General features: G+C 42.8%; 1 protein-coding gene across 7 annotated transcripts in view, besides 1 other annotated feature; it reads left to right on the top strand.

The window, feature by feature from the left end:
* Positions 1,506 to 2,025: a silencer, noted in NCBI's record as "silent region_624". NCBI's record gives its function as "represses an Ori minimal core promoter by ATAC-STARR-seq in GM12878 lymphoblastoid cells {active_cell/tissue: GM12878}" and the evidence as "EXISTENCE:reporter gene assay evidence [ECO:0000049][PMID:35858748]".
* PHC2 (polyhomeotic homolog 2) overlaps positions 1,709 to 14,695 on the top strand; it is a 107,470-nt gene continuing 94,483 nt past the window's right edge. For 6 of the 7 annotated variants that reach the window (NM_001385123.1, NM_001330488.2, NM_001385121.1 and 3 more), the window contains exon 1: positions 1,709 to 1,828. The gene's annotated coding sequence lies outside the window, so the exon portion shown is untranslated. Of the gene's footprint in view, positions 1,829 to 2,566; positions 2,624 to 14,695 lie in introns of all 7 variants that reach the window. The other variant, NM_001385119.1, reaches the window with a different exon arrangement.

The following is a 14,695-nucleotide window of genomic DNA, read 5'->3' as shown; positions in this document are numbered from 1 at the left end:
AGGCTGAGGCAGGAGGATCACTTGAACCCAGGAGTTCAATGTTATAGTGAGCTATGATCACACCACTGCACTCCAGCCTGGATGACAGAGCATAATTCTGTCTCTAAAAAATAAATAAATAAATAAAATTAGAGAATCACTGAGCTAAACAAGTCTGTACACAGATGTTTGTGTTTTTAAACTACTGTGCCTTTAGCTAAACTATCAAATCCCTAAGGTAAAAATGGAAAGACAGGCATAAGCCGGACGCGGTGGCTTATGCCTGTAATCCCAGCACTTTGGGAGGCCAAGGCGGGCAGATCACCTGAGGTCAGGAGTTCGAGACCAGCCTGGCCAACAAGGCGAAACCCTGTCTCTACTAAAAGTACAAAAATTAGCCGGGTGTGGTGGCAGATGCCTGTAATCCCAGCTACTCAGGAGGCTGAGTCAGGAGAATAGCTTGAATCCAGCAGGCAGAGGTTGCAGTGAGCCAAGATCGCACCATTGCACTCCAGTCTGGGTGACAAGAGCGAGATCGGACTCAAAAAAAACAAAAAACAAAAAACAGACAAACAAAAAAAAACAAAAAACAAAGGAAAGACAGAGAATTCTACAGTGCCCCTTACCTACCTGGTGACTCTATTCTCTTAATATATAGCCTCTGTGACCTTAACACATGTCACTTGTCACAAGGTATATTTGCTGTGGGATTAAGACGTAACACCATCATATCTTGAGAGGAGACAAAATTCTATTAGAGAAGGGATTCTAAGTCCAATCCTAAATTAAATAAATCTGATACAATGAGACTAGCTTTGGGGGCCAGATAAACCTGGATTTGAACCCTAAATCTGCTACTTACTAGCTGTATAACGTTGGGCAATTTGCTTAACTTCCCAAAGTCTCGGTTTCTTAATCCATAGAATGGTCACAGTAATTCCACCATGTTGAGAAGACTGAATTTAAAAGTTTCTAAAGTAATGAGCTTCAGTATAAATCAGTGTAACTCAGCATTAGCTCTTAATAGCTGTTTGACCTAAATTATGTCACATGGCCTCTCTGAGCCTCATTTTCTCTCCTTTGTAATACAGGCATAACTATTCTGCCTATTAATCTCAAAGGTCACTGTAAGGAAACAGTAAAACGCTGTACAAATTATGTACAAGGATTTTCTCAACTGCACAGCACACCTGAAATTGTGAGGAGGTGCTAGGAGACCCCTGCTGGATTTGAAAAAACTGGCGATTGTCCCGGGTCTGAAGTCAAAAATGATCTTAGATCTCCACTTTTGCCATTTAATGTTGTTGTATGATCTTGAGCGAATGATCTAACCTCTCTGAGCCTCCACTTTCCCTACTATCTAGTGGGGTTAATAGGACAGACATCACTTTCTGCAGCAAAGTGTTAAGGCACGTGGTAAGTGCTCAATAAATGTTGGCTGAATCTGGATCTCTCTGGCTGAGACAAATCTCTCCATCCGCAAGGTGGGAAAACTGCGCGTGGTCGCCATGTGGCGCTCAGGTAGAGGAGATGCTCCCGGGGGCACCGGGCTCCGGCACCTCCCCACTCCCCCGCCCACCCGCCCGTTGCCATGGCCACCGGTTCAGGCTGGGAGCAGCACTAAGGCGTGTTCCGCCCAATCCCCGCCCTTCTAGGGTGACCATTGGCTGGAGCGGCCACGTGACGCGCGCTGGTATGCTAATATATGGTAATAGCGCCCTCGCCCCTCCTCCGCGGGCAGCGTCCGAGCAGCCAGCAGGGTGCGCGGCGCCGAGCCGAGGGGGCGGGCTGAGGGGCGGCCCCCGGGAGAGAGCGGCCAGGTGGAGGAGGAGCGCGGAGGCGACCGCAGGTAACGGGCGGGCGCGTGCGCGCTGGGGCCAGCTCGCGGCTGACGGGCAGCGCGCGGGGGACACCGGCCGCCGCGCTGCCGGCTTAACCCTTTGGGCACCCAGCTGTCACGGTCGGGCCGGAGCGCTCGGCCGGGACGGGCCGCGCGGGGCGGGGCATTGCCATGGGCACGGACAGGCGGGCGGCAGGCGGCCTGACCCCTGGTCCGCGGCGTGGGGCCCGCGCTGGGAGCCCGCAGTCCCGGCCGGCGACCGGCAGAGCGCGGCGCCCCCGGGCCGGGAACGCGCAGCGAGGAGGGCTGCGGAGAGCCTGGGGCCGAGGCTTGCCGGGAACGGGAACCGGAACGGGAACGGGCCAAGGTCCCGTCAGTGACTCGCTTTCTCCGGGGACCGACCCCCCTCCTGCGGAGAGGCCCGCGCCGCGGCAGCCCGTGGTCTTGCGCGGCCTGCGCCTGCTCCGCTTGTCCCGCAGAGTGCGGTGAGACCCGGGCGTCGGGCCTGACCGGGGCGCCCGCTCCCCAGCCGCGGCGTGACAGCGCAGCCGCTGGCACTTTCGGCCCAGAGTCAAGCGTGGCGTGGGGGGCACCAGCAGAGGGAACCGGGGGTTGCTGGAACTGGGAGGAGAGAACAGTCGTCTAAAGGAAAAGCGGGCCCCAAGGTTGGAGAAGGAGGGATGCCCTAGAAAGGCGCTGGTCCCTTGTTTTCTGTGCTGAGTGATGACCTGACACCCATGGGAAAAGGTCGCTGCTGGACACCTGGATCGGGTCTGTCATACACGGAGGAAGCGGCTGTTCTACGTGAGTGTCTAACAAATTTCTTATAAGGCGAGGTTTAAATTCATCTTCCCCCCTCCCCAGGTCTGCTACAGAAGTGTCTTCTTGTAATTATCCCCCTCCCCCAATTCACTAAGACTGGTGGCAGCTTTAGGCTCACAGTGTAATTTAGCTTTTGCGACAATAGAAATGGTAGGAGGAGAGATGCGCCACTGATACTAAGCTTGCCCTGGGAGTTTCTTGGAAGTGTGGGGTAAAAAATATTTCTATCACCAGTGGGGATGAAAAATCGGCTAATGCGCCCGTGATATCAATAGAGTTTCTTTTGTGAGTCTAAAGTCGTTCCTTCTAAATCAAGAGAAAATGCGGTTACAATTGAAAAGTACCAGAAACCAATTTGATTTTGCAAGTGAAGTGCAAATTCCACTTCCACGTTGCTCTTGATGTCTTTTATCACCCAACAACAAATACTTGGCATATGCCAGGCACTCTGCTATGTCTTGGGGATGCAAAGATGAATAAGATAATTAGTCCTTGTCCTGAAAGAAGTGGTAGGAGAAACAAATGAAATTGCTAGTAAAAGTGATTAACAGCATAATAGATGTGAATGCAAAGGGCTTTGGAAGCACAGAGGAGGGAACAATTAGCTGTCTGAGAGGACCAGGGAAGGCTTTCCAGAGAACACATTTAAGCAAGGTGTTGAAGGATAAATAGGAGTTTACCTTGCAGAGAAAATTGGAAAGGACTGAAAAGGCAGCCAAAGCGGGGGAACAGCGAATGCAGCCACATAAAGAATATGTTATCTCTAGGGAATGGCTTTCTATTGTAACTATGGCTTTTTTTCCTTCCTCTGTAATGTAACTTTCTAAAAGTAGCCTAGAATTTCTTATTCCCAGCACAGTTGTCCAGTGATATTTTTCTTATTGTTTTCTCCCCCATATTTTCCCCTCATCAGTTTTTCTGAGCCTCATTCCTGGTCTTTGTCACCCATATCTTCCCAAGTAAGGGTCCATCATGTGGAGGTTGAATAGGAGTAGTTTTCAGTTGCTCCAAGGGAGAGGGCCTGAAACTGGGCATAATGTTTGGCACTAGAGGCAGCATCTGAGAGGGGCAAATCTAAATCATACAAAAAGAGAATACATGACCATAACTAGGGAAGCAATGCTGAATGTCAAATTTGTGAGACCTGGGGAAATAAGTAGTAAGATCAGAAGCTGGAAGGATCTGGATTAAGAGAGGATTGGAGTGTGAGATGGGTCAGGGCAAGTAGTCCAGGATTGAGACCATGAATCGTGCACATGCAGCTGAGCCCACTGTTGCATGGTGCCAGCTGTGCAGAACAGCGGTGGATCTGCCAGACTGGGCCAGGCCCTCCATAGGCTTTCCAATGCCTCCTCCTTTCTGTTCACCCTCCCTCCTTACTATTATCCTCTTCTCTTCATCCCAGTTTCCACCCATGTCTCATGCATTGGGCTTCTTTTAATGAGGTCTTAGCTAACAGAGCAGAGAAAATCCCATTCTGCTGTCTTAGCATCTATCTCTAGAACTATAAATAGTCCATTTAACCTCATTAGCCATCAACTAGCCAGCCTATTTTTACTTCCTGATCATTTAGAAGCTGAGCAAGGTTGGGCCCAGAGTAGCAAAGTGGACCTCATCCCCAAAACTCTTCTAATATTTGAATCAGATAAAGGCCTTTTTGCTTTGCTTAGACCACATTTATTTTTAGAATGGATTATGGTGAGTTTTTGGCAAATTTCCTGTTTTGAATTATATTACAGATCAAGTCGTGTAAAGAAGGTGTCACTGGGGTGACATGCTTAATACGGTCTGCTAAGATTGATGATACTGTAAGTGCTGGAAAATCATGGGCGGTATTTAAGCAATCTTCTCAGTCAGTGTATTTACTGAACACCTGCTTGTGTGCAAATACTATCCTGTATTTGTGATGTGGAGGAGACAGGAAAATGAGAGTGGTGGTGTAGTATGGGGGTTATTCTCAGCTAAACAAAGATTTGGATCCCAGTTCTACCAGGTACTTGCTACATGACTTTGACTTCAGTTTCTTCATCTGTAATAATGCCACCTACCCAATATAGTTGTGAGGACTAAATGAAATCACAAATGTATAGCAGTCATTTAGTACCTTTTTGAGATGCTTAATGCGTGGTATTATAGGAGTTGAGAAAAGAAAAAAAATGGTGATAATTGAAGCCATATGATTAGCTGAGTTCACTGCTGGTAACAGCATAGAAATAGAATAGAGGATGAAGGACTGAAGCTTGAAGATACATCCCACATTTAGGGAGGGAGGGAGAAGGCATGGAGTCCGTATGGTAGAAAATAAGAAAAGAAGCAAGAGAACCATCTAATGTATTTATCCAACAAATGCATTCTATTCACCACCATTTGTTGTGTACCTGACAGATGCCAAGGCCAGTTAGACACGCTATTAACCATGAGAGTGTAGTATCACAGAAGTCAAGAGAAGAAAAAGTTTTGAGCTGCAGAAATTCGTCAGCAGTTTGAAATTGTACAGAAAGAGTGGGAAACATTCATTATACTTAGTAAACAGAAGGTCATTGGTAACTTTTTGAAAATGATAGCTTCAGTAGAGTGGCGGGGGTGGCCATGGGGATATGAAAAGCCACATGAGAGAGAACTGTGGCATGAGATGCCGATAAGAAGTGGAGACAGCATGCGGATCACCTTTTGTATGTTTGGCAATGAAAGGAAGAAAAGAAATAGAAAAGTGATTAGTGAAGGCAGCACAGTCAAGCGGAAGATTAATTTTCCCTGTCTGCTTCATTATTTTCGTTGACCTAAAATATTATTCTTTTTATTTCATATCCTTAATAGCAAGTCAGCAGTTCATTTCTTAAACTTACTGCTTTGATAACTACCTGAATGTTTCACTGAACAGTAATAGTGTAGCTGTCGTTTATTGAGTGCTCACTATGTGCTAGGCATCGTGCTAAGCTCTTTGTATACATTCTGTTCATTATCCCATTTAATCTTCCCAGCACCAGATTATAACCACACAACCTCTTGGCAGCACGGAAAGACTAAGTAAATTGCCAGAGGTCACATAGCTAATGAGTGGCACAGATGGGATTTGGATCCAGCTCAGACTCTAAAGCTTTCCTGAAGGATCATGCTATACTGTCTCTGAAGTCAGGGCCAGCTTTGTGGGTATGCAGCCTGTGCAGTCTCCCAGGGCCCTGTGTTTAGAGGGGCCCCATGCTTGGTTTAATACTCTCTTGTTGCTGTCTTGAAATTCTTAATGATTTTTAACAAGGGGGTTCTACATTTTCATTTTGCACCAGGCCCCACAAATTATATACCCAGTTCTGCCTGAAGGTATCTGTACTACCTCCTGAGGGTATCTGTACTACCTCCTGAAGGTAGGAAAGCATTTTGTGCTGTGGCCTTTGGTTTGGGTAGGTGGCCTAAGTCCTTGCTATGTCATGCTGCACAATCACACTTTCCTATGGTCCCCTCATTTTGGACTCTGTGAGTTTGCTGGTGTGAAGGGCAAAAGGAAATGCCCAGTCAATATGAAGAGAATAGAGAATAAAGAGGCAAGGAATTGCTTACTTAGACTGACTTCTGGAAACTCATCCACCATGTTTTGAGGGTATTACTGGAGAGAGTTATAGTCCTGATGCTATTGTTACTCCCAGTTTAAATACAACACAAGTTCATTTCTATTCCTTTTGTAGTCAGGTATACCCATTTGTTCATGGGAAGATATGGAGACCATTTTTCAACGTACTGAAACAGAAATTGGAGTGGAACAGGTACACTACAACTTGTCTGCCCTCATCTGGTGCCTTTTTAACCACGTTGATGCCACCCTTTGACCCTCAAACCATGGACCCCCCCCCAGCAGCTTTGAACCCCACTGGTTGCCACCATTGTCTGGAATGCTTCTGTTCTGTCCTGCCTTTGTTGCTTACTCTGTTCCTTCATCTACCCACATGAATCATGAAAAACAGAAACTTCTATTTTCTCTCATTTTTGGCTTTAGGAAAGAAATAGGAAAGTGATTAGTGAACTGAGAACCAATTAGGTTTTTCTGGGTTTCATGGTTATGGTTCTCTCAGAAACAATTTTTACTCATCCTCTTGCTCCTCTCACTTCTGGTCTCTCTGAGTAATGATTTGACCAAGTCCTGACATCACTTGACACTTACCACTTGACCAAGTCCTACGCCAACCAACCTGGATTCCTTTGTGGGGGAAATCAGACAAGACTGAGATTGTGTTGCCTCCTCCCATTACCTGTCTCATCCCCGTTCAGAGTGTTTGTTCTCATTTTCTATGCCCAACATGGACCAGGTAAGCCTAAGAAAACGTGAGAAGAAAAATATGAAGAGATGTCCAATATAAACTGCAGTATACATCATGAAACACAGTTTACATGGCTGGGCTGGGTCTTCTCCATAGTCTCCTAGTTATGCTGTGGCATGGTCTCCATAAGGCACTGTAGTAGTTATCCACTGCTGTGTAACAAATTACCCCAACATTTACCAGCTTAAAACAAAATTTTCTACTTATCTTTTAAGACTCAATTCAAGCATTACCTCTCAGAAGGCATTTCCCAGCTTGCTTTTTAAGAATTAGTAATCTTCCTCTTTGATATTTCTTCGTACTTCAGCATCTCATTATAGCATTTACCACATTGTTATAATTGCTAGGGACCATGTCTTTTTCATACCCTTAACTTCAGTTCCTAAAACTATTTCTTGAATGTCACAGATGCTCAGTAAATGGTTGTTAAAAGAGCTTAAGAATAACTCATACCTTTATCGGCTTTCACTTTATTCTTTATAAAACGTAGGTATATTGCAAAGTATCCAGCCTTGTTTCCTGTGATAGGCTCATATATCGTTGTTGAAGGTTAAATGTAAAGAAACGTTGTATATGTCCAAGACTGCTTGACTTGCCAACTTATCTACTCCAGTGAAGACTTCTTGAATTTATCTTTATCTATAGGTCTCTGTGCCATTCCTAGTCTGAAACCAATTCTGGCCCTTATAGGAAATTATACAGTGAGCACCCCTAGTCCAAAGATACTTGGTTCAATAATAAAATCAACATTTGTTCACTATTCAGATATTTGACTCTTAAATTTTATGAGGGTACATCTGTGTCTGGCTTATTCACTGCTCTTTTCCCGACACCATGCCCTAGTAGCTGCACAGCAAATACTTAGTGAATGAATTAATGAAACTCAATTCTTGATAATTCATGTCCCATTCCTGTTATCCAGGTCCTGACCTCTGATCACCCAGAATCTTAGGCCTGATTCATCATTTCATGTGACCCAGACTTTTTGTTTTGGTCCTTGACTTTTATCTTCCAGGGCCTTATTATGGCTGGATAAGAATCTGACTCCTTGCTTACTCAGAACTAAAGTATCTCTTTGTTTCTTGATCGTCCTAACTAATAATATAGGCCAGATGCCCTTAGAAAAATATTATTTTCTCTACCTGAAGCCAGAAACATTCCGAATACATATTAAATGTATTTAAAAATATTTAAACTGAAGATAATTACATTCAAATTTCTAAAGAAAGTGAACAGGCCCTTTGAGAAACAAGTTTTGGGCAGAGACCAGCGTCTAAAATTTTGTGAGTCTATTAGAATGATTAACTTGTAAGCTTCAGCAAATCAATGCAAATTAATTTTTATACCCACCAGTGAATCAAAGGAGGGGAGGGAATTGAGTGAGTGTGTAAATATGGTTGCTAGGGAAACTTTTCCTGACAGAAGAGAGAACCTCGCAGGAATTTTTACAGGCCCACAGAAGCAATGTAACCTGATCTTTCTCTGTTCTCTTTCTAATGGGGGAAGAAAAGATGTAGAAACCATGGGTACAGATAAAGGTGGCTTTAGACTTTTCAAGAGACTTGAGGAGTAAGTTCTCCAGAACAAATGATGACTATTATAAGGCACCCGTTCGTTTTAAGGAACCATCTGGAAATGAATCTATCTCTAAAATAGTATTAATGAATCAATCTCTATAATAGTATTAATTTACTCAACAAATATTCAGCACTTTCTTTTTTTTTGTTTTTTGTTTTTTTTGTTTTTTTTTTTTTTGAGACGGAGTCTCGTTCTGTCGACCTGGCTGGAGTGCAGTGGTGCAATCTTGGATCACTGCACCACCTCCGCCTCCCAGGTTCAAGCGATTCTCCTGCCTCAGCCTCCCGAATAGCAGGACTACAGGTGTGTGCCACCATGCCCGGCTAATTTTTGTATTTTTGGTAGAGATGTGGTTTCACCACGTTGTCCAGGGTGGTGTTGAACTCCTGACCTCGTGATCTGCCCTCCTCGGCCTCCCATAGTGCTGGGATTACAGGCATCAGTCATGTGCCCGGCCTTATTCAGCACTTTCTAAATAAAAAATATGTATTTTCATTGTCCAGAAGGAAATACAATTATAAGCAGTTGATAATTTGAAAGTACTGCATTACACCTAGTTCTTCCAAGTTTTGCCCCAAATTAATTTTTTTAGTATAGGGTAATGTGAACTTAATTAAATATTTAATGCTGTTTCTAGAAATAAAATTCTGCTTCTGTACAAAAAGCTTAACAGGAGTGTATCTTCTGTTATTTCTATTCTTTGGTTGCTGCTCCTGAGAAAAAACTAATTCATTGGTCCATAAAGCCATACCCCAAAGTAGATGTTCATCTAGTGACAGTGTCATCTTAATTTTAGATATAGTACCAGTGTAGGACACATCCGTCTCCTTGATGGCTAAAATCATGAGATCCTTCTTATTTTAGCTGTACGGGATGGATGGTTTCAGGTCTTAAAATCTTGGCTGTAAAATGCATTTGGATTGAAATATGGAACACTGTCCCATATCTGAAGCCTACCATTCAGTGTCTCCATTCCTTCTCTTCCCACTTTTATTTTGTTTTCAGTTACAAATAAGGCTTGCATTTGTTTGAAAAAGTATATACTTTTTAAGCCCTTTAATACTTCAATGTGCTAGAGTTATGTTCCAAGCACAGTATCTTCCGCTGGCCTGCAGAGAGGCAGTTGGAGGTAAGGGTTCACTGCAGGGACACTAGAGCCATAATGCTGGGGTTCCAGCCTTGCCTCTGCCACTCATGAGCTGTGAACTTCCCAGCCGCCTTCCATCTGTACTCTCTCTGCTCTAGTCTTCTTGGGTATAGTGGGGGAGAATCACAGTCCCTACCTCGAAGAATTATAGAATTAAACAGGTTAATAATGTGAGGTACATAATAAGAATTGTGTAGGTTTTACCTTTCTTTATTTCCTGGGGCCTCCTAGATAGAATTGATATTTGAAGGAAGAGAAAGTTGAGATGTATAAAGGTATAATAACTTGCCTAAAGTATACAGTAAATTTAGGCTCAGACTATTCTCATTCTTAAATTACCAAGGAAGTTTTCCATTCCGCCTAGTAAGAGAGAGAGAAAATGAGAATTAGAATAAGAGGGCAGAACTTGGCTTTTAGGGCATTTTGAAATAGAGGTTACTTCACATAAGATGGTGACACTAAAGCCCGTGAAAATGAAATTGCTTTCTCAAAGGCAGAGTATTAGAAATGGTTTGGAATAATATAAGTAGGGAATGTGGTACTAGGTCAGGCCCATTGTATAACCAGCCAAAAATTTGGTTTCTGATCATGATAACAAAGCTCAGTTGGAAGGGTGTATTGTAGCTTCAAGCCATGACAAAATCTTCTGATTACAGGGATGGGCTTGCCCATCCTTTTAGTATCCTTCTGTCTTTGTTTACCTGAGTATTTAAGCTTTATTTCTATTTTTGGCCTCTACAATCATATTTATTTATTCAACAAACATTTAATAAGCTTCTATACCTCACTCTAGCAGCTGGGGGGATTCAAAGATGAGGAGAACCCAGGCCAGGTACTACAGAGGTTTCTAAAGAAAGAAAGACATGGAAACATTAATTATGGTATTGTACTTAGTACCATAATAGAAGTATGGTCCCTGCTTAGAAATGTTAGGAAAAGTTTTCTGGAGAAAGTGACAGGGTAAGAGGAAGCTTCTCAGCCAGACAGAAGCAATGTCTGCAAAGGTGAGGTTGTATTTGCTTGAGAGAACACATATGGGGGGACCTCCAAACAACCTTTCAAGACCACAGCAGAACATTTGAGGAGGGTCATTGCAGAAATAAGGCTGAAAAGTAGGCTGGCATCAAATCACAAAAGGCTTGGTTTACCAGGCTAAGGAATTTGGACTTTATGGTGGAGGCCATAGGGAGCTGTTAAAGCCCTTAGGAGTAACGAGATCAGATCCGCCTTTTAGAAAGAACACATCAGCAATGTGAAGGGTGGTTTGGGCAGGAGTGAGACCAGAGACGGAATCATGCAGTTAGCGAAGAACCTTTAATGAGCCTTCTCGTCTACTGCCAGTATGTTTACTCTTGAATATATATGTTTGTTCATTCAACCCCAGTTTGTTAATGGCATGTGAGATACTAGACTCACTGCTGGAAATACTGAGAAACAACACACCACCCATGTCTTGGAGTTGCTTGCAGTGTTTTATTTGTCCTAAACACAAACGTTCTTGAGTTTTCAGCTTCTCTTGTCTATCCTCTGTTTCATCTCAGTCCCGGGACTGGGGTTCTGGTATGTTGAAATGAGCTCATTTGGGTTTATCTTGTCTGTACTCCTCATGACATCACCCATAACTCCTTCCTTTCAGCCTTCATATTTCCAGAGTGCAAAGTTCTAATCATTTAATAAGTTCCTGTAGAGAATGCATCCATTTTACATCCCTTTACTTAGACTTCTGCTATTTAAATTCTTATTTTTTTTCTTATTTCCCCCAACCTCAAGTACTGTGTGTCAGCGCTCTTAGTCACACACTTTGCCCTACTTCCTGTCCTTTACTAGCTTACAAAGTCCCGTCTTTATTCCTCTTTTCCTGTTTCCCCAAGGATATGCATACCAGAATTGTAGACTACATTATTTTCTTTGCTTTTCTCATGTGGGTGCCTTTCCCCCATGAGATCACAGTCCCCAGAGGAATAGCTCCTGACAATAAAGAAACTGAAGATAAGACAACATTTCTCCTGAAATAGAAGAGATGGAGTTGTATTAGAAACGGTAGTGTTTATTGCATAATAATAATTGGAATTACAACTTATTGAGTGCTCATAGATGATAATTGTCATGCTAGAGCATAACGTTAATTCTTATTTAATCCTCACAGCTACTCTGAGGTAAGTACTCATGTCATTTCCATCTTACAGATGAAGAAACAGGCTCAAAGAGGTGAAAATAGTCTGGGCACAGTGGCTTACACCTGTAAACACAGCACGTTGGGAGGCTGAGGCAGGAGGATCACTTGAGCTCAAGAGTTTGAGACTAATCTGGGCAACGTGGCAAGACCTTGTCTCTACAAAAAAATTTAAAAATAAGCCAGGTGTGGTAGTATGCACCTGTGGTCTCAGCTACTCAGGAAGCTGAGGTGGGAGGATCACTTGAGCCCAAGAGGTCAAGGTTGCAGTGAACTATGATCGTGCCACCACACTCCAGCCTGGGTGACAAAAAGGAAAGAAAAAAGAAAAAAAAAAGAGGTGAAATAACTTGTCCGAGTTCAAATCATGAATACATTAGCCAGATTTTGAACTGAGGACTGACTCTAGAATGGAAGTTCTTCATTGCTGTGTAATGTAGGGTGAACATGCAGGCTTTGAGTTCCAGTACCTGTGGTCATTAAGAGTGAGCTGATTTTTTTCAATCTTCCTTTAGTTATAACTGCCATCACCAAGTCTAGTTTCTCTTTATCTTCTTGATTCTTACTAGCGACCTTAGTAAGCTGTTTTATTTGAATCATAAGGTCTAGGCGCGTTTCCCTCCCCCAAAGTTTGTGATCAGTTTCATAATTGTATAGATTTGAGTTTGTATGTTAGCACTATTGTGGTGTTATAGTTCATTGTAGATACAATGCTTACAGTTTGGGGACCTATCTCTAGGCGAATGGATTGTGCCTTGAAACATGGTTGCATAACAGGTTTGTTGTAGAGAGAGCTAAATATCCTTTAAAAATAAATGTTGTTTATGTAATAATTTCCACACCACATCAGCCTTCCCTAGTGATAAATAGTAGGCTGAATAATGACCACCCAAATATATTAGCTCCTTATCCCCAGAACTTGTAAATATTACCTTATAAGGAAAAGGAATATTTGCAGATGTGATTAAATTAAGGATCTTGACATGGGGGGGTTATATCTGGGTGGGCGCTAAATACAATCACAAGTGTCCTTATAAGAGAGAGGTGGCCGGGCGCGGTGGCTCACGCCTGTAATCCCAGCACTTTGGGAGGCCGAGGCGGGTGGATCACGAGGTCAGGAGATCGAGACCATCCTGGCTAACACGGTGAAACCCCGTCTCTACTAAAAATACAAAAAATTAGCCGGGCGTGGTAGCGGGCGCCTATAGTCCCAGCTACTCGGGAGGCTGAGGCAGGAGAATGGCATGAACCCGGGAGGTGGAGCTTGCAGTGAGCTGAGATCGCGCCACTGCACTCCAGCCTGGGCAACAGAGCGAGACTCCGTCTCAAAAAAAATAAGAAAGAGAGAGAGGCAGAAGGAGACACAGACAAGGTGGAGACAATGGACATGGAGGTTATATCTGGGTGGGCCCTAAATACAATCACAAGTGTCCTTAGAGAGGCAGAGGAAGACACAGACAACATGGAGACAATGTAAACACAGAGGCAAAGAGTGGATAGATTCTTCCGTAGAACCTCCTGAGGGAGAGCACAGCCTGCTGACCCCTTGATTTCCACCCAGTGAAGCTAATATTGAACTTCAGGCCTCCAGAACTGTGAGAGAATAAGTTTCTGCTGTTTTAAGCCACTAAGTTTGTCATCGTTTTTATGGCAGCAACAAGGGACTAAACAATGAGGGTAGTCACTTATCATACTGCTTAGCTCATTTTGAGAGAAAATATTATGACTTAGTAAAGACAACAACCAACTAATATAACATGTATAATAATAATTTCGGCAAACATGTATGTAGTCTTTACTATGTGCCAGGCACTGGTGTAAGCATTTGAAATGTATTTACTCATTTATTCTTCATAGCAACTCCCATAATGGGGGTTCTGTTTTAAATGGGAAGTGCACAGAGAAGTTAGGTAACTTGGCCAAAGTGATGCAGTTAGTAAATAATGGGGCCAGGACCTGAACCAAGGCAGACAGTTTGATTTCAAAAGGCCATGCTATTAAACACTATGCTATACAGGGCTTTACACTGGGCAAGCATTCCACAAAGGACAAAGTGACAGTGTCTAAAGTCTTTTCAATCTTCTAGCCTCTTCTCCATGTTTTCTGCTGTGTTCACTGTTTTTACCCTTTTCCATTAGGTAGCCTTTATCTTTAATATTTTTTCTCTTCTAAATATCCTTGTGTAGTTTTGGTATCAGGGTAATTCTGGCCTCATGAAATGAGTAGGTAGGAGTTTCTTTTTCTGTTTTCCAGAAGAGTTTATATAGTATTGGCATTGTTTCTTTTTTTTGAATATTTAATGGAATTCACCAATAAAGCCATCTGTGCCTGGAGTTATCTTTGTGAATAGATTTTAAGCCAAGAATTCAGCTACTTTAATAGCTATAGGGCTATTCAGGTTATCTATATCTTCTTGAGTGAGCTCTGATAGTTTGTGTCTTTCAAAGAATTTGTCCATTTCACCTAAGTTGTTTAAGTTATTGGTATAAAGTAGTTCATAATATTGTTTCATTATCCTTTTCATGTCTATAAGATTTCTTTCATTCCTATCACTGGTGATTTGTGTCCTCTTTCTCTCTCTCTCACTCTCTTTCTCTCTCTTGCTCTTGCTCCTTTTTCTGATCAATCTGGCTAGAGGTTTATCAATTGTATTGATCTTTTCAAAGAGCCAGCTTTTCATTTCATCAATTTTCTCTCTAGTTTTTCTGTGTTCTATTTCATTGTTTTCCACTCTTTATTATTTCCTTCCTTTTGTTTGCTTTGCATTTTATTTACTCTTCTTTCTCTAACAAAATAGAAGCTGAGGTTAATGATTTGAGATCTTTCTTCTTCTCTAACACTAGTGT

Source organism: Homo sapiens, chromosome 1, assembly GCF_000001405.40.
Source record: "Homo sapiens chromosome 1, GRCh38.p14 Primary Assembly".
Lineage (NCBI taxonomy): Eukaryota > Metazoa > Chordata > Mammalia > Primates > Hominidae > Homo > Homo sapiens.
The sequence above is the reverse complement of the archived record's forward strand: the minus strand, read 5'-3'. Positions and strand labels throughout refer to the sequence as shown.